General features: G+C 35.2%; 1 long non-coding RNA gene across 2 annotated transcripts in view, besides 1 other annotated feature; it reads left to right on the forward strand.

The window, feature by feature from the left end:
• Positions 1–7,312, forward strand: part of LOC105379078 (uncharacterized) — a 33,914-nt gene extending 26,602 nt beyond the window's left edge. For both annotated transcript variants that reach the window (XR_948561.2, XR_001742803.1), the window contains 2 exons: positions 6,962–6,999; positions 7,278–7,312. This is a non-coding gene — a long non-coding RNA (uncharacterized LOC105379078). The remainder of the gene's footprint in view (positions 1–6,961; positions 7,000–7,277) is intronic.
• Positions 13,297–13,868: an enhancer, noted in NCBI's record as "OCT4-NANOG hESC enhancer chr5:91023191-91023762 (GRCh37/hg19 assembly coordinates)". NCBI's record gives its function as "activates a minimal SCP1, AML or CMV promoter by ChIP-STARR-seq in primed H9 embryonic stem cells {active_cell/tissue: H9 hESC(primed)}" and the evidence as "EXISTENCE:reporter gene assay evidence [ECO:0000049][PMID:30033119]".

Genomic DNA, 22,984 nt, shown 5'->3' on the forward strand with positions numbered 1-22,984 from the left:
GGAGGATGCACCTGATAGGTATCTTCCAGAGAAAAATATCAAAGATAGGTGTATTAGGCCATTCTTGCATTGCTATAAAGAAATACCTGATACTGGGTAATTCATAAAGAAAAGAGTTTTAATTGACTCATAGTTCTGCAGGCTGTACAAGCATAGTGCTGGCATTTGCTTGGCTTCTGGGGAAAGCCTCAGGGAGATTATACTCATGTTGGAAGGTAAAGCAGGATGAAGCCATTCACACGGTGAAAGTAGAAGCAAGAGAAAGGTGGAGGGAAGTGCCACACACTTTTAAACAACCAGATTTCACAATAACTCCCTCACTATCATGAGGACAGCACGAGGCTGTGAGGGATCAGTACCCATGACCAAAATACCTCCCACTAGGCCTGCCTCCAACATTAGGGATTAGAATTCAACATGAGATTTGGTGGGGAGCATCTATTCAAACTGTATTAGTATTAAACATTTACACTATTTGACACTGAGAGACTTGGTTTCTTAATTAGAAGAAATTGTCTCAGCTTCATACTTCTCCTGTCTATACTCCCTTCCCCAAACAGTACAATAGATTTTGATGACATTCAAATTCATTTGAGAAAATTTAGAAACTATATGTAAAACATTGCAAATATATGTTAATTATTTATCCCACACAAGTTACACACACACAGATACACACACACACAGAAAAATATGGTATTTCTCTCCCTTTTTCCCCACGTTCTTTTATTCATCATTGTATTCTAGCTACTTAAACAGTTTCTGGTTCATGCAGATATATATTTGTTAATTAAATGAATATACACATGAACTTAATATATAATAAAAGAAAATCTCAAAACAAAATAAGGAGTGATGATGACAAAATAATAAGGGATTTCGCTTAATTCTATACTGATATATTTCTGTATCTGGATGATTTTCTGGGAAAATAAAATTTTCTGGGAAAATAAAAGTTTTCAAAATTTATAGCAAAAAAGACTTAAAACTCAAAAAGGGAAATTATATAAGATTGGAGACAACACTTTCAAAGAGCTACTCCCACCCCAAAAGCATCACACCAAGATATTCCTACAGATTTATTCTACCAAAACTTAAAGTAACATATATTTTCTTCACTATTTAAAATCTTCCAGAATTTTTATAGTTCCAGGTTTTAGATTTAAGTCCTTGATCCATCTTGAGTTGATTTTTGTATAAGGTGAGAGATGAGGATCCAGTTTCATTCTTCTATATGTAGCTTGCCAGTTATCCCAGCACCATTTGTTGAATAGGGTGTCCATCTCCACTTTATGTTTTTGTTTGCTTTGCCAAAGATCAGTTGGCTGTTAAGTATTTGGGTTTATTTCTGGGTTCTCTATTCTGTTCCATTGGTCTATGTGCCTATTTTTATACCAGTAGCATGCTGTTTTGGTGATTACGGCCTTATAGTATAGTTTGAAATCAGGGAATGTTATGCCACCAGATTTGTTCTTTTTGCTTAGTCTTGCATTGGCATTAGGGCTCTTTTTGGGGTCCACATGAATTTCGGAACAGTTTTTTCTAGTTCTATGAAGAATGATCATGGTATTTTGATGGGAATTGCATTGAATTTGTAGATTTATTTTGGCAGTATGGTCATTTTCACAATATTGATTCTACCCACCCATGAGCATGGGGTGTGTTTCCATTTGTTTGTGTCATCTGTGGTTTCTTTCAGCAGTGTTTTGTAGTTTTCCTTGTAGAGGTTTTCTACCTCCTTGGCTAGGTATATTCCTAAGTATTTTATTTTATTTTTTTGCAGCTATTGTAAAGGTGTTGAGTTCTTGATGTGATTCTCAGCTTGGTCACTGTTGTTGTATAGCAGAACTACTGATTCGTGTACATTAGTTTTGTATCCGGAAACTTTGCTGAATTATTTTATAGTTCTAGGAGCTTTTGGAGGATTTTTTAGGGTTTTGTAGATATCATATCATCAGCAAACAGTGACAGTTTGACTTCCTCTTTACCGATTTGGATGCCCTTTATTTCTTTCTCTTGTCTGATTGCTCTGGCTAGGACTTCCAGTATGTTGAAGAGAAGTGGTGAAAGTGGACATCCTTCTCTTGTTCCAGTTATCAGAGAGAATGCTTTCAACTTTTCCCCACTCAGTATTATGTTGGCTGTGGGGTTGTCATAGATGGCTTTTATTATATTGAGGTATGTCCCTTGTATGCCAATTTTGCTGAGAGTTTTAACCACAAAAGAATACTGGATTTTGTTGAATGCTTTTACTGTATCTATTGACATGATAAAGTGATTTTTGTTTTTAATTCTGTTTATGTGGTGTATCACATTTATTGACTTGCATATGTTAAACCATCCCTGCATCCCTGGTATGAAACCCCCTTGATCATGGTGGATTCTATAAGATAACATCAGAAAAACCTTTCTTTCTTTTCTTTTCTATTTTATTTTATTTTATTTTTTATTTTATTTTATTTTTTGAGACAGAGTCTCACTCTGTCGCCCAGACTGGAGCTCAGTGGTGCTATCTCTGCTCACTGCAAGCTCTGCTTCCCCGGTTCTCCTGCCTCAGCCTCCCAAGTAGCTGGGACTACAGGCACACGCCACCATACCTGGCTAATTTTTTGTATTTTTAGTAGAGATGGGGTTTCACTGTGTTAGCCAGCATGAACTCGATCTCCTGACCTCGTGATCCACCCATCTCGGCCTCCCTAAGTGCTGTGATTATAGGCGTGAGCCACTGCGCCCAGCCAAAAAACCTTTGTAGACATTGGCTTAGGCAAGGATTTGATGATCAAGAATCCAAAAGCAAATGCAATGAAAACAAAGATAAGGGGACTTAATTAAACTAAAGCGCTTTTGCACAGCAAAAGAAACAGTCAAGTAAACATACAGCCCACAGAGTGGGAGAAAATCTTCAAAACCTATACATCTCACCAAAGACTAATATCCAGAATCTACAATGAACTCAAACAAATTAGCAAGAAAAAACAAACAATCCTATTAAAAAGTGGGCTAAGGACATGAATAGACAATTCTCAAAAGAAGATATACAAATGGCCAACAAACTTATGAAAAAATGCTCAATATCACTAATGATCAGGGAAATGCAAATCAAAACCACAGTATGATATCATTCTACTCCCACAAGAATGGCCATAATAAAAAAAATAGTAGATGTTGGTGTGGATGCAGTGAACAGGGAACACTTTACACTGCTGGTGGCAATGGTATAACCACCATAGAAAACCATGTGGAGATTCCTTAAAGAACTAAAAGTAGAACTACCATTTGATCCAGTAATCCCACCACTGGATATTTACCCAGAAGAAATGAAGTTGTTATACAAAAAAGATACTTGCACACACATGTTTATAGCAGCACAATTCGCAATTACAAAAATGTGGAACCAACCCAAATGCCCATCATCAGTGAGTGGATAAAGAAGCTGCTATTCATATATGATGGACCACTACTTGGCCATAAAAAGGAATGAATTAATGGCATTTGCAGCAACCTGGATGAGATTGGAGACTATTATTCTAGGTGAAGTAACTCAGGAATGGAAAACCAAACATCTTATGTCCTCGCTCATATGTGGGAGCTGAGCTATGAGGATGTGAAGGCATAAGAATAACACAATGGACTTTGGGAACTCGGGGGAAAGGTGGGAAGGGAGTGAGGTATAAAAGACTACAAATTGAGTGTAGTGTATACTGCTCAGGTGATGGGTGCACCAAAACCTCACAAATCACCACTAAAGAACTTACTCATGTAGCCAAACACCACCTTTTTCCCAATAACCTATGGAAATTTAAAAAAATAAAAAATATATAGAATTTTTATCTCAAAAAAATAAACAAAATCTTCCAAATAGACTTAAAGTAAATAGTACTTCAAATTTCTTTGACAAAGTCTGCAAAGCCTTGATAAGAAAACCCAAAAAATAGCACAGAAAATAATATAATGGAATAATAAATGTCAATTAAAATAGCCTTAATAAAGTATTAGCAAATAGAATACAGAAGCATGTTAAAAATATACTAAAACACAGCCATCTGGGATCCACAGCAGAAATACAAAGATGGTTTAAGAGTAGAAATTCCATTAATATAATTTAACATATGAAGATGAATCATGTTATCATTTTTCATAGATGCTAAAAATTCAGCATCAATTATTAATTAAAATTATTCTTTATTTGTTCTTTACTTTTTATTTATATAAACTTAAGGGATATAAGTACAGTTTTGTTAAATGGCTATATTGTGTAGTGGTGAAGTCTGGGCTTTTTAGTGTATCTGTTCTTAAAAAAGTAATAGTAAGTTGATAGCATGTAAAACATGTACATCTCAACCCAAAACTCAGAATTATGACTGATACGGTAATACAAGAAACATTTCTATTAAGTCAAGTACAAGACATAGCTATCCAAATTACTGCTATTTAACATTTTTCTGGGAGGACTAGTCAAAGCAATTGAAAAAGAGGAAAAAATTGATGTTAAATGTTCATAGTTCATAAATGGAAAAAACAAAACTAATACACTTGGCTGGGATTTCTAGAAAAGATTATTTTTACTCTGGTTCAAATGGTTGTGTAATCTGAAGAAGTTACTTATTTGCAACTAATTTTTTTTCATATAATGAGGTGGCTGAAAGAGGAAGTAGTGGCATACATTTCTGAAATGACAGAATTTTTTTTATAAGTAGCCAATGAATTTCTCTATCAGCCTTCCTCTTACCCTCTTACTCTATTTGAAAACCATGGCTTAAATAATACATGGTATTTCCACTGGCTTTATATTATTTTTTTCTGTTTTATATTTGTATCTTAATAAAAAATGGATCTCAAATGGTTGTTTGGTGGTGCTAGTTGGAGAATTCAGCTATTATTTGATATTAGTCTTAAGACATTTTCTTGTCGATTTGTAGAGGGAAATTTCCATTTAAGGGCACATTCTCAGAAGGGATAAAACATGGAGTAGTGGTGAAAGGAGAAAATCGCCTGACCAGCTAGACGGGCTTATTTAATCTAATGGCAATAAATAACACAATCTATTTTTAAAAAAGAAATTTTAAGGACCACTCTCCAAATTTGAAGAGACTTAGGAAAATGATATTTTTAGCAGTTTAGAAAAATGATGATTTTTTTCAATATAATCTATTTAATATCTTGCCAACTTTTCATTTGAAAAGTCATATTTTTAATTTAGTGAATTTGAGAGTTGGTTTTCTCAAAACCTATATAAATTGCTTTATGAATGTGAAAGAAAAAATAGATAAACTAAGACTTGTTGAACTTTAGGGAAGAAGATTAATTATTTTTCACTTTCAATTTAAGAGAAACAGCTCATTTGTTGCTTTGTTTTGCTTCTAGAATGTAATTTATCTTGTGCCAAAGAGAGGCAAGAATGAATCCAAATTAGACAATGAATGTAGAAAACATGTTTTTTTACTCAAATACCACTAAAATGATGGCATGAATAAAAAAATATTAAAAAACATGTAAGGCAAAAGAAAATAGTCAAGAGTGAGAGGACAGAAAATAGCGTGTAATAAAGATCAACATAATATTTTAAAGTATATGTAAAATGGACAAGTGGCAACTCACTAAGACTAGAAAAATCTGAATTTTAGTTCTGATTTCATGCTGAGGATCAATCAACAAATAATTTGATTTATTCCAAGGATTTGGGGATTGGCAGCAGCTGCATTTGGGATATGATGGTGATGGGCAAAAGCAGGAAGAATGTTGAAAGTTGGTAACACAAAGCAATTAAGCCACTTACTCTACCTGCACTCCAAACCACCAGCAGAAGACTCCCTCCTCAACTCCAGCAGATGTCTGGATGTTTATTTTTCTGGGAGGACAAACTCGAAGGACTCTGGGTTCAGGAACAATGGGCACGTTTGAACATGGTGGATCTGTACTCAACTCCTAGGTTTATATCTCCTAGAGTATAGACTGGAAGGTTCCTCAGGGGAAACTGGAAGAACCAAGAGGAGAGCTATTTAAATATTGTTCTCTCTTCAGTAATCCTACACACTGAGGCTCTTCAGCTGATAAGCCCCTTCCCACTTAGAGTCATTTCCTTGATAACTACTAGCTAGTAGGCCTATGAAAAATTGCTCAACTTCATTAGTCCTGAAGGAAATGAAATTTAAAGCCACAGTGGTATATCACTACACGCTTGCCAGAATATGAAAATGAAAGCATCAAGGAGGAGAAAGGGAGGCACAGAATTCTCACATATTGCTGGTAGGTGTACAAATTGGTACAATTGCTTTGGAAAACTGATAGTACTCCTATACCTAAATGCCCTATGATCCACCCTGGATGAAAAGGCAGTGAAAATGAGGGCATATATTCACCAAAAGACATATACGGTAAAGTTTATAGCAGTTTGATTCATAATAGCCCAAGAAATAACCTAAATGCCCAACAACAGTTCAATGGATGAAGAGGGCTGTATTCATATAATCAAATTGCTACACTATTATAAAGAAAACCATTCTGTTATTTGCAATATTAATGATGAATCTCACAGATATATGGCTGAATGAAAAAAGTCAGGCACAGAAAAGTACATAACACATGATTCTATTTGTATGTTGTTCAAAAACAGGCATAATTAATCTTTGATTATAGAGGTCAAATTATTGGTTACCTATGAAGATGTTGACTGAGAGAAGGCAGCAGGAAGTCTTTGAGGTGTTGGAAATATTTTTTATTTTGATTTGTATTATGGTACACAGTGTTTACATATGCAAACATTTATCAAGATATATAGTTAAGTTGTATGCAGTTCACTGCTTATAAACTGATTCGCCATAATAAGAAAAAGAGAGAAAATAAAAAGTAAATTAGAGTATCCTTCCAGGAAATTGTTACAGTTCTCGAGGCTGTTAACCAAGATTCTGACTGTCCCTCTTTCAGGGACCTAGTGTGACTGCACCTCCTCCCTTTTTTGCAGATCAGCATGGGCCTGTGACCTTCTGTGACTGATAAAATGTGAGTAAAAGTGATATGAGTTCTTTCTGGGTGGAAGTTTTGAATAGCCAGAGTGTGGCTTGCCATGTTGCCTTTCCCCTACTTCAGTCCTGAGATCCTTCGGAGGGTGGAGACTCAGTTCCCCTAGCCTCTGAGTAAGAATGATGTGGAGCTGAGTACTTAGCTAGTCTCTTAGACTCATAGTATCAGTGAGAAATAAACATCTGCTGTATTAAACTACTGATATTTGGGATGGTTTTCTACTGCAACACAATACAATTCATTTTGATCAATTCTAGAGTCCAGCTTCCAAAAGGAGAGAAAGAAGACAAAAAGGAGTGAGAAAAATGTCAAAGAAATAAGGTAAAAACATTTCCCAGAAAGGAGTGGGGGAGGGGGAGGACTTTAATTTCGAGATTGAAAGACCCTCCCAGTGCTGAGTATAAGGAATGAATGGAACAAAACCCACATAACACATGTTATTGTGGCACTGTAGAATACTGAAGTTAAGAGATTATACTAAAAGCCCATAGACAGGGGTACAAACGGATCACAAAGAAAGAATTAAGAATCAGAACAGACTTGGACTTCCCGCAATAAACTTTGGAAGCTAGAAGACAATGAAATACCTTTTAAAATTCTACAAAACATGTACAATCTGGTTTTAAATCCCAGCCAATCTTTCAATCAGATGTGAGTGTGAAAATAAAGACATTTTAAGAGAGGCAATGCTTCAAGAAATATATCTCTAGCTTACCTTTTCTCCCAAAGCTCTTTCAATATATGCTGCACTAAAATAATCTAGAAAGATGATATAGTATGGTGCACTATCTCACAATATTGCCCACTCTCCTTTCTTAGCAACAGAATAACTGAAATAAAGACAAATTTCCTATCACGCTCCTTGAAGGTAGGCATGGCCATTTGAATAAGTTCCACTTATGGAATTTGAGTGGAGGTAGTGAGTTTGATTTGCTTTTCTTCTTTCTTTTCTGTAGTGTACACATAATGGCTGAAGCTCCATCAGCCATCGTGTATCACAACCTAGTGTCCCAGAAAATAAAAAGCAAGCATGGCAAAGCAATGCAATCTGAGGGTCCTTATTTCCTAACAACATAGTTTCCATTCCACTTCAGGACCATTCTTTTGTCCATGATAAGTAGACTCGTATTTCATTTAATCCTTTGTGTTGTTTTTCTGTTTTTCAGAGATGAGGGAAATTCTAACTCAAAGAAAGGGATTCTGTGAAAGGTGATCAAACACGGGAGAATGGCAGAGGAAATCCCCAGGAATGATAACAAAGGGAAATCTTAAGTTTTGAAGCAACAGTGTTCCAAAAGGGCTATATCTTATTTTTCTTATTATAGAAAGTCAATATATAATATCCAAAATTTAAAAATTGAGATTTAATAATATAAACTTGTTATTTGGGAATATAAGGTAAATATCAGGGGAAACATTGAAGAGAACCAAAATGAGTTTCCTCTGGGGAATGACAAGCAAGAGTGAAAAGGGGTGAGAATGGGTGGCATAGGATAATGCTGTTTTCTATTATGAGCCTTGGTGAATTATTAGATCCATTAAACTCTGTAAATGTCTTTATTATTTGCTGTATTTGCTGTATTTATAGTGATAAATGATATAAATAACTTTTTAAAAAAAACTGAATATTTGTAACCACGATTTGCATTTTCAACTGCATGTGAACCAGAATGGTAAGGAAATTCTATTATTTGTGCTAGTTGACTTACTGGAAGGTGGTTTAAAGAAATGGCATTCTTAAATTGAGAGACAAAGGTCAAAGACAAGCAGTGCCTTCGCTGTTAAAACGTATATCATGAAGCACAAATCCTTAACGGCATACAGTGGCAGTCCATGGGGAGTGAGGAGCAGTGCCTTTGGTTTGTATCTGTGACTTATTGCTATGACATGACACTATTACATTTTGGTTTTTAGCATTTTTAAAGAGGAAGTAATAGTTATGAGAGATGAAGAACTCAGAATTAAGTACTGTAGTTATACACAGAAGGGTAATTTGGTTTTGATGTATTGGCCTGGGCCTGTTAACTAATAATACCAAATTTTAAGTAGCATCTCACCGGTATGAAAAAAAGGTTGCATCATTATTAATGTCTAAACTATAGTGTGTTTCACACAGGATTATGGTAAAGGTCAGGCCATGTTTCTCTGAATTAAAAGCTATTCTGAGCTATCGCATTCCTAATCAACTCAGACCTAAAGGTGCATAGCTCAGTTATAATGAGGCACAATAAATTTAAATAAACTGCAAGATACTGTATAGTGATTTATATGTGCACCGTGGTATCCTTTTAACTCATTAGCAATGAATGATACTATGTGTTTGCGACTGTTTTTTTGCTGTATAACTATTTTTTAATCACAATATTTCTTAGGAAAAGTGCCTTATGCTCCCATTTTCTTTCTGTATGTGTAAAGTAAAAGGCAAAGGGTGCTCCTGGCATGTACTCAAACATGAGTCACAGCAGGAAGAAACTGTCAAATATCCATCCAAATAAATTTCACAAATTAACAATTTGTAACTGGGCTCACATGTTTATGGTTTCACGGTATAGAATTGCCATGGGACTTGGGAAAAGAAATTGAAGGTTATGCGCAGGTTTCTGAATTATACTTCAGATTTATCCTTGTGGAGGAATTTTAAAAAATCTATTGAACACATTTGGGCATGTATTAAGAAACAAAAAGAAAACACTAAAATTTAGCTAGAAAATATTCTGATTAACAAAGGAAAGGAGTTTTATTTACCATCTTTCATTCTCTTATGTTCACCCAATAATTTTTGTAAACAACATATCACTATAGTTTGCTCATATGGCAAATTTACACAAAGCACGGAGATTTAATTTCATTTAGTAAAACTCTTTTAAAAAATTTCTAGATTGGGAACATCTCATGTATGCAAGATCAAACATTAATTTAGAAAGGGAGTAATGTAATAGAATTGGTCAAATTCATTTTATGGATGACTCAAATAACATTCACTTTTTGTGGTGATCAGAGGAGACTGGCTTAACATCCTGAGACCTGTGCCTCCTGATGCTTAAGAAATGTATCCAGGTGTTACATTTGTTTTAAGTCCCACTCTTCATACTTGAAATGGTCTCACTATTGCTGGAATTGAGTTTCTTTTAAGCAGGGCTTTGTATTGAAGCTGGATTTCTTTCCTGGGGCCCAGAAAGAAATTTCTTCCTCCAAAGCCCTGACCTGGGGATTTTCTCTGCCATTCTCTTTTGTTCAATCCCCTTTCATTGCTTTTGAGTTTTGTTATCAATTACATATGCTTCCCATTTTTTTTTTTTTGGTTGATGAGTTTTTACCTGATATAAACTTGGTCTTGGGCTTATTAATTCTATAGTAATGTGACTGATGCTGCTAAATATTCCCCAATATTTACTTTTCTCTTCCTCCTTTTAGCAATGGAATGGAAGTTTTATCTAGCTAAGTGACCATTCAACTACTAACTAATTTCTCAGCCTCCTTTGATGTTAGGTTTTATGGACTGAATTGTGTCCCCACAAAATTCACATGTTGAAGTCCTGATCCCCATTCCCTTAGAATGTGACTGTATTTGGAGATAGGGTCTTTAAAGAGGTAATTAAGATTAAATGCGGTCATTAGCATGGGTCCTAATCCAATATAACTGGTGTTCTTATAAGGATACTAGGACACAGACACACACAGAGGAAAGACCATGTGAAGATGAAGGAAGAAGACAGACATCTATAGGCCAAGGAGAGAGGCTTCAGAAAAAATAAACCCTGCAAATACTTTTATATCAAACGTCTAGCCTCTAGATTTGTGAGAAAATAAATTTCTATTATTGAAGTCACCCAGTCTGTGGTACTTTGCTGTGGAACTCTACAAACTGGTATACTAGGTGTGGCCATGACATTGAGTTTGCATTGACGAGGTATAAGCAGAAGTGATGTGTATAGATTCTAGGTCATTTTCTTAAAAGCTAAGTCAGAATATGCTAGGTTGTCTCTTTACTTTCTTACAGGCTGGAACACAGATGTTGTGGGGGCTCAGCTTTGAGTTTTCAAATAAGGACAACACGTGGGGCAACAGGATGGAAGAAATCTGGGTCCCTGAATGACTTCATGGAGAAGAGCCATTCAGCTAGCAGGACTACTTATATCTGGATTATTATGTAGGAGATACACAAACTTTTATCTTACTTAAGGTACTGAATTTTTTTGTGGGGGTGAAGGAGGGTCTTTGTTACTATAGCTTAACCTTTCCCCTAACAACAACAAAAAAACATTTTATAGAGTATCAGACAAAGGACTCCTACTCTATTTGCACTTTAATTTTTCATTTATATTCTACACCTAATATAATACAGTTATACATCATAAACTATAAACATTTATAATTTAAATATGTAAAAGTGATAATATCTATATAGTTTTTGATTGCATATTACATTGTGACACAACTGCCATTTTTATTACAATTCCATTTCCTTTACGGATGTAGCAGTAATATGTTTAAAGTATGCTTCTGTCTTTCCTTTTATTAGTCATTATCAACAGGTCTTTATGATCTATAAATAAACTCAATTTCATCCTTCCTGAAGATCATCTGACCAAAGGTATCACCTAATCATCCTTGTAAATAAAAAAGATGGCATCAACCCACAGTCTGGCCCCATACACCTGGTCGCCATTCAAGACCTTGTCTAAGGGCTTTGTGATTACGTTTTGTTATTATTGTTACTTGTTAACATTTTACTAAACTATGAGGCTGGAACATATGGAATTATTTTTCACAGGCTTATTTATTTTCTACCTGTTTATTTATGATCACATGAAGTGATTTTTTACATTCACTGATGATCATTGGATGTGAGTTTGGTGGACATCATACCCACCCTTCCATCTCCTACTCGTTTCTAGGCATTTCAGATGATTTCTACATTTTAGAGCATCAGTGTACAACGTTCTTTCTAAAATTGTTTTTGTAGTCAGAAAGTCCAGCTTTCTTTCTAATCTAACTTTATATAATCTTGCTGCTCTTTTTTTGGTAATCTGTTATGTGTTGAATGGGTGTGTTTTAATGCTCAAAACCTAATATTTGCAGCAAATAGAAAGATAATGCCCCCTAAGTGAAATGGTGCATCAAATGGCACTAGTAGCCATTTGGAACTTCTTTCCATTTTGACTTATATAAAATAACTTGTAAGCAGAGCAACTTCACAGACATGTTCAACTAGGGTACTGTTGGGAACTAAAAGATGGGCATTTTCTTGCTATCTCCCAAGAAAAGGATAAGTTTAGCTTGACTGAATGGTGGTAATTCCATCTACCCACTCTTGCATTAAGTGATTAACCCACTGGAAGTCTGTGATCTGCTTTGAAGTCCCTAGCTTCAAAAGACTCCCCACATGAGGCCTATTCATATAAACTTGAGTTCCTCTAAATAGTGAAAAAAAAAAATCTTCTGCGTTTTACTCTTAATTTTGTTTTTCAGTTGATGAAATGTCTTTGAGCATCAGTAGGATTTTGAGATTATCATAATTTGTTCTCAGATGCACTACTGGGAGGGTAAAGCTCAATGGTCCTGGCACGCAATGTTCTATTCCATGTAAATCAGGCAGGAAAGTGACTCTACATTACTCTTTGGGTTTTGTTGAAGCATTTACTCTGTCTTGCCATCAGGTCATTGTTTTATTCTAAAGAACAATAAATTGAGATTGTGAGAGCATTTTAACATGCCAAAATAAACATTTATTCTTTGAATTTTTGAAGAGGAAATGCAAATTATTACATTTTATTGACTTTCTGGACCCTGGAGAGTGTACTCTATTTGGTAATTTGAGATTTCATTAAGTAACCGGGCATAGTCCTCAGTGGAGAAGGGCAAATAAAATACTTAGATTGAGTGGTCACTTTAACAAAGTAAGTTTCTTCCTCTCCATTAACTTTTGTTGAAAATAATCCATTTCAAATGAGAATTGAAATTATCTTAGTCCTAAAACATCTCATAATTGGCTGCCATGCCAAAAAAAAAAAAGAAAAGAAAATTAACACAGTAAGATAAGGGAAAAAATGAGGCCTAAATACAAAAATTCAAGCCCAAAAGACAACACATATGTATTTAAGCTATTCATTACCATCTATATATATTATATGCTGAGCATTATAATAAACAGAACAAAATGGTGTGAAAGATTTAGATTTTACAGAATTCATAAGCTAAGGGCATGTTAAAATAATGACTTAGATATGTTGTGATTAGAAGTTTTCAAAGTCTGGCTAGAGTCCTAAAATATTTGGAAGGTATATTCATTCATTTATTCAGCAAATATTTATTGAGAAAGTACTACATTTTGACCGAGATGGCCTTAAGGTTCCTCTCCGTTTCACTCAACTTTAGACAGGTTTCCTCCTGACTATAGATTCCTAAACATCTTTTTCCTGGAGCATGTACTTTAGGGAATTTGCAATTGTAAATTTTTTCTCTTTGATATATAAATCTTCTCCTAACTTCTTGCCAGTTTTACAACTGAGGAATGTCTTTCTCAAGGACCTGGAAGCCATCCCTTTGAAATGTAATTATCAGGAAAGAGCACTCTGTCTCTCAGTCTCTGTGGGACTGGAGGAGCCTTACTTAAATAAATGCCAATTAGCAAATACGGATGGCTTAATCACACTGGTCAGTCTCCTCCCTAACATCTGCCAATATTTTTCCATTAGCTCACTTTGCTGCTTAAAGTCTCTCCCATCTTTGGTTTCAGGGTCTCAGCAGAGGTGAGTTCAGTCTCTCTTCCCTATTGTGATAGTCTTGATTAAATTTTTCTTTACCTATTTAACTTGTCCAGTGGACTCTTTCTTTAACAATTCCAAATGCTGTTTTATTGGGGAATATATGACATGATTGGGATGGGTATTGTCCTTGCCCTCAAAGAGGTTAAAATGTTGAGGTTATAAACATTTCTTGATTGTAAAGGCAACTTCAAATCTACATCATAGATCCATGTAATTCATGTATTAGGCCATTCTCACATTGCTATAAAAAATACTTGAGACTGGGTAATTTATAAGAAAAGAGGTTTAATTTGCTTATAGCTCTGCAGGCTGTACAGGACATCTGCTTCTGAGGAGGCCACAGGAAGCTTCCAATCATGGCGGAAGGCAAAAGCACATCACATGGCAGAAGTGGGAAGAGGGGGAGGTGCCACACACTTTTAAACCACCAGATCTTACCAGAGCTTACTATCACAAGGAAAGTACCATGAGGATGGTACTAAGCCATTCATGAGTAATCCACCCCCATCTTCCAATCACCTCCTACCAGGTTCCACCTCCAATATTGGTAATTAAAATTCATATCTAAAAACTTGGCCAATTGAGAGGTCCTCTAGACTGATGATGCTTATCTGAAAGCTTCTGGATCAGAGCTCATCTCGATCTCTACCCAAAGTCATGCTTACATGCAGGCTGAATAATGGTGTGATTTGAAGGGCAGCAGCATGATAATTTTACTTAGAAATATCTTTTCTGTCAGGGTTGCTAGATGTTTGAAATACCTTATGTAGACATACGTTACTTTGTATTGACAATTACCTTTTCTCTCACTTTCTTTTCAAATATGATAAATAAACTGCTAACATCTCAGTATGAAGTAATACATCATATAGTCCTCCTCTGTGACATGAAGGAGGCAGAGTATCATAACTTTGGGAAGCTAATCTAGAGAGAAGCAGAGGGAATGAAGGAGAATGTTGAGAGTACAGTTCTTGGATAATTTTTGCAGAGTTAGTAAGTGTTGCCAGGGTGGGTTATATTAAATAATTCACATAAAATGAATACTCATAGAAATCAAACACATAAACATTACTTGGGAAAATAGAGAATGATCATGGTTAAAAAAATGGCTGAGTGATTTGGGGTCAGAACTAAAGCTTCCAAAAGTGAATAACTAAATGTACTATTTATCTTGATTTTTTCCTTAGGTATATATAGTTCTTAATATCTATCAAGGGAAACATGTTTTGACACACCTAAAATAGCTACTAGGTATTTTCCTTTGTATTTCTCTCCTCGTTCTCACCCTCTGCCCAACTTCTTTTCCAAAGGTGAAATATTTTTAAAGTAATGTAACTGTGTGGTCTGAAAAAATTCCATCTGATGGAAAAATCAGCCTAAAAAGGGACTTTGCACGAGTTAGTATGTGGATCTGGCTTGCTCTGCTCATAGACCTACTTATGACTGCCTTCTTGTTCATGGCTTAATACACATCATCTCTTTTTGAAACCCTCTCTGACCACCAAAAATAAAGTAGGCCCCCCTCACACCCTGCCACTATCACAGATAGATTCTGTCCCATGACTCTATTTTATATTTGTCATAGTGTTTATTACTACCTAGAATTATTATTTCTTTAATTTATTTACTTATTTATTAACTGTTTTCTCCCATTAGGAAATAAGCTCCATGCAATAATGAATATTGTCTACATTGTTCAGTGTTATTTCTGCAGAGCCTAAATTATGACTGATGCATGGTGCACTCTCTAATGAAGAAAACTTCATATTACATTCATTTTTTTACCTAAATATATTAACTCCTCTCTTCCTCCTTTTGCCATGAATTAATTTTACTGTTATTTACTTTCCATATATTATATTTACAACAAAAATTACTCTTCGTCCTTTTCCAATTAAATCCTTTAAATTCTAGTTGAGGAATGAATGTTTGTTCGCAATTGCATTTATATTCTGTTTTGTATTTGTGTCCTAGATTATTGGGAAAATATATGAAAACTAGAATGTGTCTTATTATGAACAATTTATTTCAAACACATGAAGGTTATATAAGGAAGAGGGCTTTATCAAAACTTAATTTGTAGGATGAAAGGAGTTGGCAAGTTCCATCACCAGCTCATATATGCAATATACAAAGATTAGCCCCCATGAGAAGCCCTTCAAAGACATACTTTCTGGTTTTGTTTACTACAATCACAAGTATTCTCTTTGCTTTGTTCTGGAGGTTGCTTAATATATCATTTGGTTCTACATGTTTCTTTCTCCTAATTTTTTTTTTATACTGTCAGATTCTGCCATGTCCATTCAAATCTAAAATTGTCTGAAACTATCTAAGTCACAACAAATCTGCTGTGTGAATAAAATCTTTATGGAGAGCTGTGAGGTTTCCAAGGCACATGCATAATAGAAATTCAATATCACTTCATTTGAGTTCAGGCAGAACTACCAATAGCTGCATTTCACAGAGACCCACAAATTGTGCTATGAAAAGAATGATTAGGACAGAATGCCAAGCCTGTGTATGGGGGCCTGGTAAATGTATTCCACGGTCAGTGTGTGGATCACCTCAGGGTGGTGCTGATAGGAGAGAGGGGTGCTCTCAAGTTCAAAATTGTATTCGGAGCATCTAATAGTAATCAATTTTGATTTTTAATAGCCCTTTCCTTTTAGTATAAAAACTAAATTCAAGTAGGAAAAATGGCAATCTGCACAAGCTGCTTTAAAATGGAGAATTTGGCATTAGGCTATTTAACTTTAGTGCCAACAAAGCAGTTAGCCAAAAAAAAAAAAAAAAAGCTATATTATAAGTACAAAATTTAATTTTTTTATGCTTAAAGAGTTAATAAGAAGTAATTCTCTTTAGGACAAAAATTATAAAGAATTTCTATGTGTTCCTGAGTAAGAGAGGAAGAGAGAGAGGAGAATTCAAATTGAATTAGAGTAAATATTAGCAGGGAAAAAGTTAAAGATAATTAAAATTATTTTAGGGACTATTTTAGACCAGCATATGATTAACTTTACCTATGTAGATTCTAACCTCTAAGGATATGAATAATATAAAATTAAATATACTGAATTATGTTTCCATCAATATTTTTCATTTTGGGGCTAATTTTTTTCAACTAACTTTTTACCTAATACCTATATTTAAACATACTTTCACATCAAAAACTCTAAATTTAATATTTTAGTATACAACTTATTTGTGAAAAAATAATTGTCTAATAATACTCATTAGTTGGTTCATGCATTATTTTCTAAAGAGTTAACTGAACAACTAAAATATGCCCCATGCAATTTATAATTCTTAAAATAAAGGTCAAGAGTTAGGTCATTATTACAATTAATCTTAATTTAGCATGAAAATGTGTGTCTATGTAATGCTCTATTTTGATAGCTAGAGCATCTTTAGATGACTTAGGCACAATTAATATTTCTTTATAACTTCTAAAAGAAAAATAACTCAATATATGGTCATAAATTAATAATCAGAATATCTGTTGGTGAAACATCCAAAATAAATTTTATCTACTGATTATTTTGAAATAGCCACAATTTCTATGAGATTACATAAATTCAAGATGATTTTAGAAAGAAATAAATATACAATAGAGATGTTACTTTTTCATTATTAAAACATGATTGAGTCAACAGAGTGTATACAGATACCTAGAAAAAACTATTTTTATTATGTTTATCTGATCTCTCCTGATGTTCTCCCAAAATTCATATGTTGAAACCCTAACCCCCAAGGTGATAGTATTAAGAGGCCAGGCTTTTTGACAGGCTCTGACCTGATGAATAGCTTTAGTGCTCTTTTATAACAGGACCAAAGGAACTCATTTGCCCCTTCACCATGAGAGGTCGCAAGGAGAAGGCACCACCTATGGACGAGGAAATGGGCCCTCACTAGACACTGTATCTGCTGGCGCGTTGATCTTACGCTTCCCAGCCTCTAAAACTATAAGAAATAAATTTCTGTTGTGTATAAGTTACTCAGTATATGGTATTTTGTTATAGTAGCCTGAATGGACAAAGACTGACTACACATGAAAACAAATCTGATCCTGAGTAGTACTGTTGAAATTCTGTTTTGATGCATTATCAAATATTTTTAAAATGTCAACCATGAATGGAATATTTCGAGTACATATGAAATACATTGGCTTATAAAGCACAATACTTTATTCTAATTCAATACCTTTTATTTATTGACAAGTATTTCTGAACATCTGTAGAATAATCAGGATATGCTAAGACCCAAATAATAATGACAGCTGCTGTTTACTGAACACCTACAGTTTTCCAACCATTGAGAGGTAGTATTGTATGGCATTTAAGGCTGTTTACTTTTTAACCAGAAGCTCTATTCAAATCCTGCTTTAGTCCCTTACTAGTTGTGAGGCCTTGGGAAGGTGATTTGCACCTCAGTTACCTTTTCTATAAAACAGAGACAATAACAGTACCTACTTCATAATGTTCCTATGAGGAAAGATTATGTGAATTCATGAATTAAACCCCTTGGACCAATATTTGGTACACAATAAGTACTTACAAAATTTTGATTAGTATTACTTAATAGTTTTGTTATTTTATCATGGCTTTCCTTAATAATTCTGGGGGAAAAGGTGTATTATGATTATTTTATAGATAAGAAAACTGAGCTTAAAGTGTTATATGCAAGTTTTCCCAATTCACATAGACAGTAATAGAGTTGTAAACTCCCAAGTTCATGCTCCTTCCACTCTATTGCTTTGTCTTCAAAGGTACTGAAGACCCAAAATTATTTCTCAAATTACTGGAGAAATAATGTAAACAATAGCTGTAGCAATAAAAATAGATAATAGTTGTGAGTTTTTGGCAAGTATATTAAAACAATCCTCAAATCAACAACAACAATAATATTATCATTGGTTTTCTTTTTTTTTTTTTTTTTTTTTTGAGATGGAGTCTTGCTCTGTCACCCAGGATAGAGTGCACTGGCACAATCAGTGCACTGGCTGGCTCACTGCAGCCTCCACCTCCCAGGTTCAAGTGATTCTCATGCCTCAGCCTCCTGAGTAGCTGGGACTACAGGTGCATGCCACCACACCCAGCTAATTTTTGTATTTTTAGTAGAGATGGGATTTCACCATGTTGGTCAGGCTGGTCTTGAACTCCTGACCCCAAGTGACTGGCCTGCCTCAGCCTCCCAAAGTGCTGGGATTACAGCGTGAGCCACTGCGCCTGGCTGATATTATCTCTATTTTATAGATGAGGAAACTGAGACATAGAGGAGATTCCTAACTTGCTCAAAGTCATACTGCTAGTAAGTGGCAGAAGTGCAAATGCTCCTTAAATATCTCTGTATGTCCCCAAGTGAAGCTCATATTTACTCAGAAATGGATGAATTTCTCAGGTCTCCACATACTTACCCAGCTCTGATGTGCTGTATTGCTGAACCACAGCTCCATGAGGCAACAGCAGCGCCTTCCTGTTCTTTGCATCCCTTACAAACCCTGCTGCTACCCCACATTACACTGCACAGCACAAGTCTATGCTTCCTCTGCTTTACTGAGGCACTCACAGCAGTCCTTTCCACTGTTGACTGCCTTGGACCCAAACTCAGAAGTGGCCTATGGTGGAATTGGGAGGGCCTTCTTTGTATTTTTCTGATGGCACTGTTAAGGAGCCTGAGGGAGTGATCCGGTGTTCCCAAAGTGTTACAGGTTTCCAATTTTTATTTTAGTCTTCTTTTGTTGGTCATGCATCCAGGAACTCTACTGGCAATGGATCAATTATGAGTGACCATCTTGTACTGAATGCCTTCTTATCTGGCATGACTGGTGATATGATGTTGACTTAAATTTATCATGTCTGGTTCACTAAAACTTTTCTCCACCCATCCCCAGTTTGCCAGACATGTAGCAGACATATAGCAGAACATGCCAGACATATAGCAGAACCCCAGAATGGGCACACTTTAAATTATGTCCCAGGATTCTCCTGTGCATACTTGCAAATATAACTTTCCCAGTCTCTAAATATATATCTATGCATGCTTGGATCTTGGAAGTGGCCAACAGAGGGCAATGATTCAAGGTGAGGACTTCACCGCCCAAACATAAAGAAATTAATGATAATGTTATTTTAGAGATCCTCATTTCTTTTCTTTTCTTTTCTTTTTTTTTTTTTTTTTGAGATGGAGTTTCGCTCTTGTTGCCCAGGCTGGAGTGCAATGGTGTGATCTCGTCTCATTGCAACCTCCGCCTCCCAGGTTCAAGCGATTCTCCTGCCTCAGCCTCCTGAAGTAGCTGGGATTACAGGCATGCATCACCACGCCCGGATAATTTTATATTTTTGGTAGAGATGGGGTTTCTCCATGTTGGTCAGGCTGGTCTCGAACTCCTGACCTCAGGTGATCCACCCGCTTCGGCCACCCAAAGTGCTGGGATTGTAGGCGTGAGCCACTGTGACCGGCAAGATCCTCATTTCTTAACCATGTCAAATAACAGACTATACTTTTTTTGGTCAATACGCCCAAATTATATTCAGAACTTAGTAAGCTTATGATATTAATACATAGCCAAATGTAATATGGAAACAAAAATACTATTAACATGTTTAATATATTTAGGAAAGTGGGTACAGTCAGGTATTTTATGAAATGTAATGTTTATTTTTATTAAACAATTATGTATGTGCATAATCACCAAACAAATGAAATATATAAAAATCTATCTATCTGTAATATATATATTTGATAAATATATACAGTTTGGTATAATGTGTGTATATATACCGTGTGTGTGTGTGTCTGTATATATATGTATATATATATATAAAAGCATGAGTCATATTCAGATAAAAGGTGCAGATAAAACAAATAGGATATAAAACATCAAGGCTAACTTTTACATTGGGAATTCAAGCTTCCCAATTTGTATATATGTATATACATATATATCAATTTCCATGTGTTTTTAAAAATTATTTCTCTCTTATGTTCATCTTGTTGGTGTCAATGTTTCTTTTGGTGGATCAAATTGATTTCATATGGTTGAGGTGGGGCTGACCCCAGCCCCTGCCCGCAGACTGGTGAAATTCTCAGACCTGTCTAGTGGATACATTATGTTACCCTGGGCACCACTTTGATTAAGTCAGGACTGGGTATGTGACACAAACTATAACATGGGTATGTGACACAAACTATAACAGTCAGAACTCTAGAACTTTTGCCTAAGCTACTTAGAGTACTAGTAAGTTCAATAAAGCCACTGTTGCCCATATTTGCCACCACATAATAAGTGATGAATATCTTGAAGACACTGAGTTCCAGAGTTCTTATCTACCAGGGAACTTTTAATAGTAAATCAACACCTTGTCTTTTTGCCTAGTCCAATTGTGTTGCAGCTTTCTCAATCGTGTTGTTTGGTGACTGGGAGGGAGTGTTACAGCTCTTTCACTCCCACCAGTGGTAAGCTCCAGGTTCTTGTCCCACAACCAAGAAGAAAAATGTGCATGGACACCAGAGAGTAAGGCAGAGTCAGATTTATTAAGTGACAGAAAAGCTCTCAGCAAAGACAGGGGACCCTAAAGAGGTTTGCTAGCTATGAGGCTGAGTCCAAGGTTTTCATGGACTGGGAAGAGGGAGGAGTGTGCTGATTGGTCTTCAGGCTGTCATGGAGAAAGCACTACTCAGAAAGAGGTATGATAGTGCAAAGAACCAATTGGAGGCAGAGGTGAAGGCTTAACCTGGGACCTTGGCCCAGGACCAATCAGGGGCTGAAGCGATGATTGACCCTGTGTAAATGAAAACTCGGACTGTGGCCAATCACAAAAAGGTAGACATACGTAAAATACGTGAAAAGTAAAATACTAAGGCACACCAAGGAGATAGAACTGTGTCCAAAAAGGAGTGGAATTTGTTCATCTGGGTTCACAGAGTAGGTGTTTCCATTCAAGGACAAGGGCTTTTCCTTATCTGGGGCCTGCAGTTTGATTTTCAGGCTGTTTTTGGTTTGAAGGAGTTTTGCTAAGGACTCCCCTAACTGCCTGCCTGGCTGGTTTCTTCCTTCCTTCTCTCTCAATTGAATTGAATAATTTTTAAATCTCGTCTTAGTCAGAAAAGTCCTAAGAGGATGGAATAGTTTGGAAAATTAAAATAAATTTAAGTCATGCACACTTAAAGAAAAAGCTGGCATTCTCAATTTAAAAGTTAGACTTGATGTTTTATCTTAAAATATTTTTAATCTGTAGCTTTTGACTTAATGTTAATCATGCTGATAACTTTTTAATTACATTTAATAAAACTTTTTAATTACACTTAATTTAAAAGGAAACAAAAGCAAAAAATTTGATAACTTTTTAATTGTGTAATTATTTTGCCTTTCTTTTCTTTTTTAATCTGCCAAATCTTCTTCTCTTTTTTCATACAGGAAAATTAGGATAACCTTCATGAATAACAAGGGCTATTTTATCCTTTCATTTTTTAAAAAAAATATTAGATTTTTAGCAAGCTATTCAGGGAAAATAAAGGCACTCTACCAAAATTTTTTTTCGTTATTTTCTCATTACTTTTGTTGTTGTTCATGTTGGACTGCTACTTACTTTTCTAATAAAGCATTATTTGCCAAAACTCTTGACATTAAAGCAGCCAGTCTCAGGTTAGTCTTACCTCTTGAGACATACTTCATTGCTTACTACTTACACCTGGCTTTTGAAGACTCGGGAATTTAGAAATAGACTGAGCCATATTAAATAACCTACAATTATAACACGTAATGTTTGAGTACACAATTTGACACACAATTGTTTCAAAAGCTTCCTGATTGTGTTATTGTATTCTTGATTTCTATTGTGTCTTTTGAAAATGTTGTATTCAGAAATGTCTGATTTTGTCTCCTTTTCTTAAGACAGTAAACATTCATAAACATTCCAAGTCACCTGCTGAAAAAAGTCATTTTATGTTTTTCTTGTAAAATATTAATTGAAAGAGTTGAATACAAGTGTACTCCACTTTTAAAATGTTAAAATTACATAACAGTAATTACATAATAAAAGTAACTTGTAATGTAGCTGTTTGACTTCCAAATAAAATTTCTTAAAGATTTATTGAAATGGCAAGTTTTTTGAAGGACAAAACATTTTATAATAATACTTTGCTTTATTTTTCTCTCTATAATAGTTTTATCTGGTCTTGCAAAAAATAGCAGC

The sequence above is a fragment of the Homo sapiens genome, chromosome 5 (genome assembly GCF_000001405.40).
Source record: "Homo sapiens chromosome 5, GRCh38.p14 Primary Assembly".
Classification (NCBI taxonomy): domain Eukaryota; kingdom Metazoa; phylum Chordata; class Mammalia; order Primates; family Hominidae; genus Homo; species Homo sapiens.